Below are 990 nucleotides of genomic sequence, written 5' to 3'. Positions count from 1 at the left end.
GACTGGTTTCGTTTTTTTTTTGGTGGAGACGGGGTTTCGCTGTGTTGGCCGGGCTGGTCTCCAGCTCCTAGCCGCGAGTGATCCGCCAGCCTCGGCCTCCCGAGGTGCCGGGATTGCAGATGGAGTCTCGTTCACTCAGTGCTCAATGGTGCCCAGGCTGGAGTGCAGTGGTGTGATCTCGGCTCGCTGCAACCACCTCCCAGCCGCCTGCCTTGGCCTCCCAGAGAGCCGAGATTGCAGCCTCTGCCCGGCCGCCACCCCGTCTGGGAAGTGAGGAGCGTCTCTGCTTGGCCACCCATCGTCTGGGATGTGAGGAGCCCCTCTGCCTGGCTGCCCAGTCTGGAAAGTGAGGAGCGTCTCCGCCCGGCCGCCATCCCATCTGGGAAGCGAGGAGCGCCTCTTCCCCGCCGCCATCCCATCTAGGAAGTGAGGAGCGTCTCTGCCCGGCCGCCCATCGTCTGAGATGTGGGGAGCACCTCTGCCCCGCCGCCCTGTCTGGGATGTGAGGAGCGCCTCTGCCTGGGCCGCAGCCCTGTCTGGGAGGTGGGGAGCGTCTCTGCCCGGCCGCTCCGTCTGAGAAGTGAGGAAACCCTCTGCCCCGCAGCCGCCCCGTCTGAGAAGTGAGGAGCCCCTCCGTCCGGCAACCACCCCGTCTGGGAAGTGAGGAGCGTCTCCGCCCAGCAGCCGCCCCGTCCGGGAGGGAGGTGGGGGGGGTCAGCCCCCCGCCCGGCCAGCCGCCCCGTCCGGGAGGTGAGGGGCTCCTCTGCCCGGCCGCCCCTACTGGGAAGTGAGGAGCCCCTCTGCCCGGCCAGACGCCCCGTCCAGGAGGGAGGTGGGGGGGTCAGCCCCCCGCCCGGCCAGCCGCCCAGTCCGGGAGGGAGGTGGGGGGTCAGCCCCCCGCCCGGCCAGCCGCCCCGTCTGGGAGGGAGGTGGGGGGATCAGCCCCCCGCCTGGCCAGCCGCCCCATCCGGGAGGTGAGGGGCGCCTCTG

Source organism: Homo sapiens, chromosome 17 (assembly GCF_000001405.40).
Source record: "Homo sapiens chromosome 17, GRCh38.p14 Primary Assembly".
In the NCBI taxonomy this organism is placed as follows: Eukaryota; Metazoa; Chordata; class Mammalia; order Primates; family Hominidae; genus Homo; species Homo sapiens.
Note: the sequence above shows the minus strand (reverse complement) of the source record.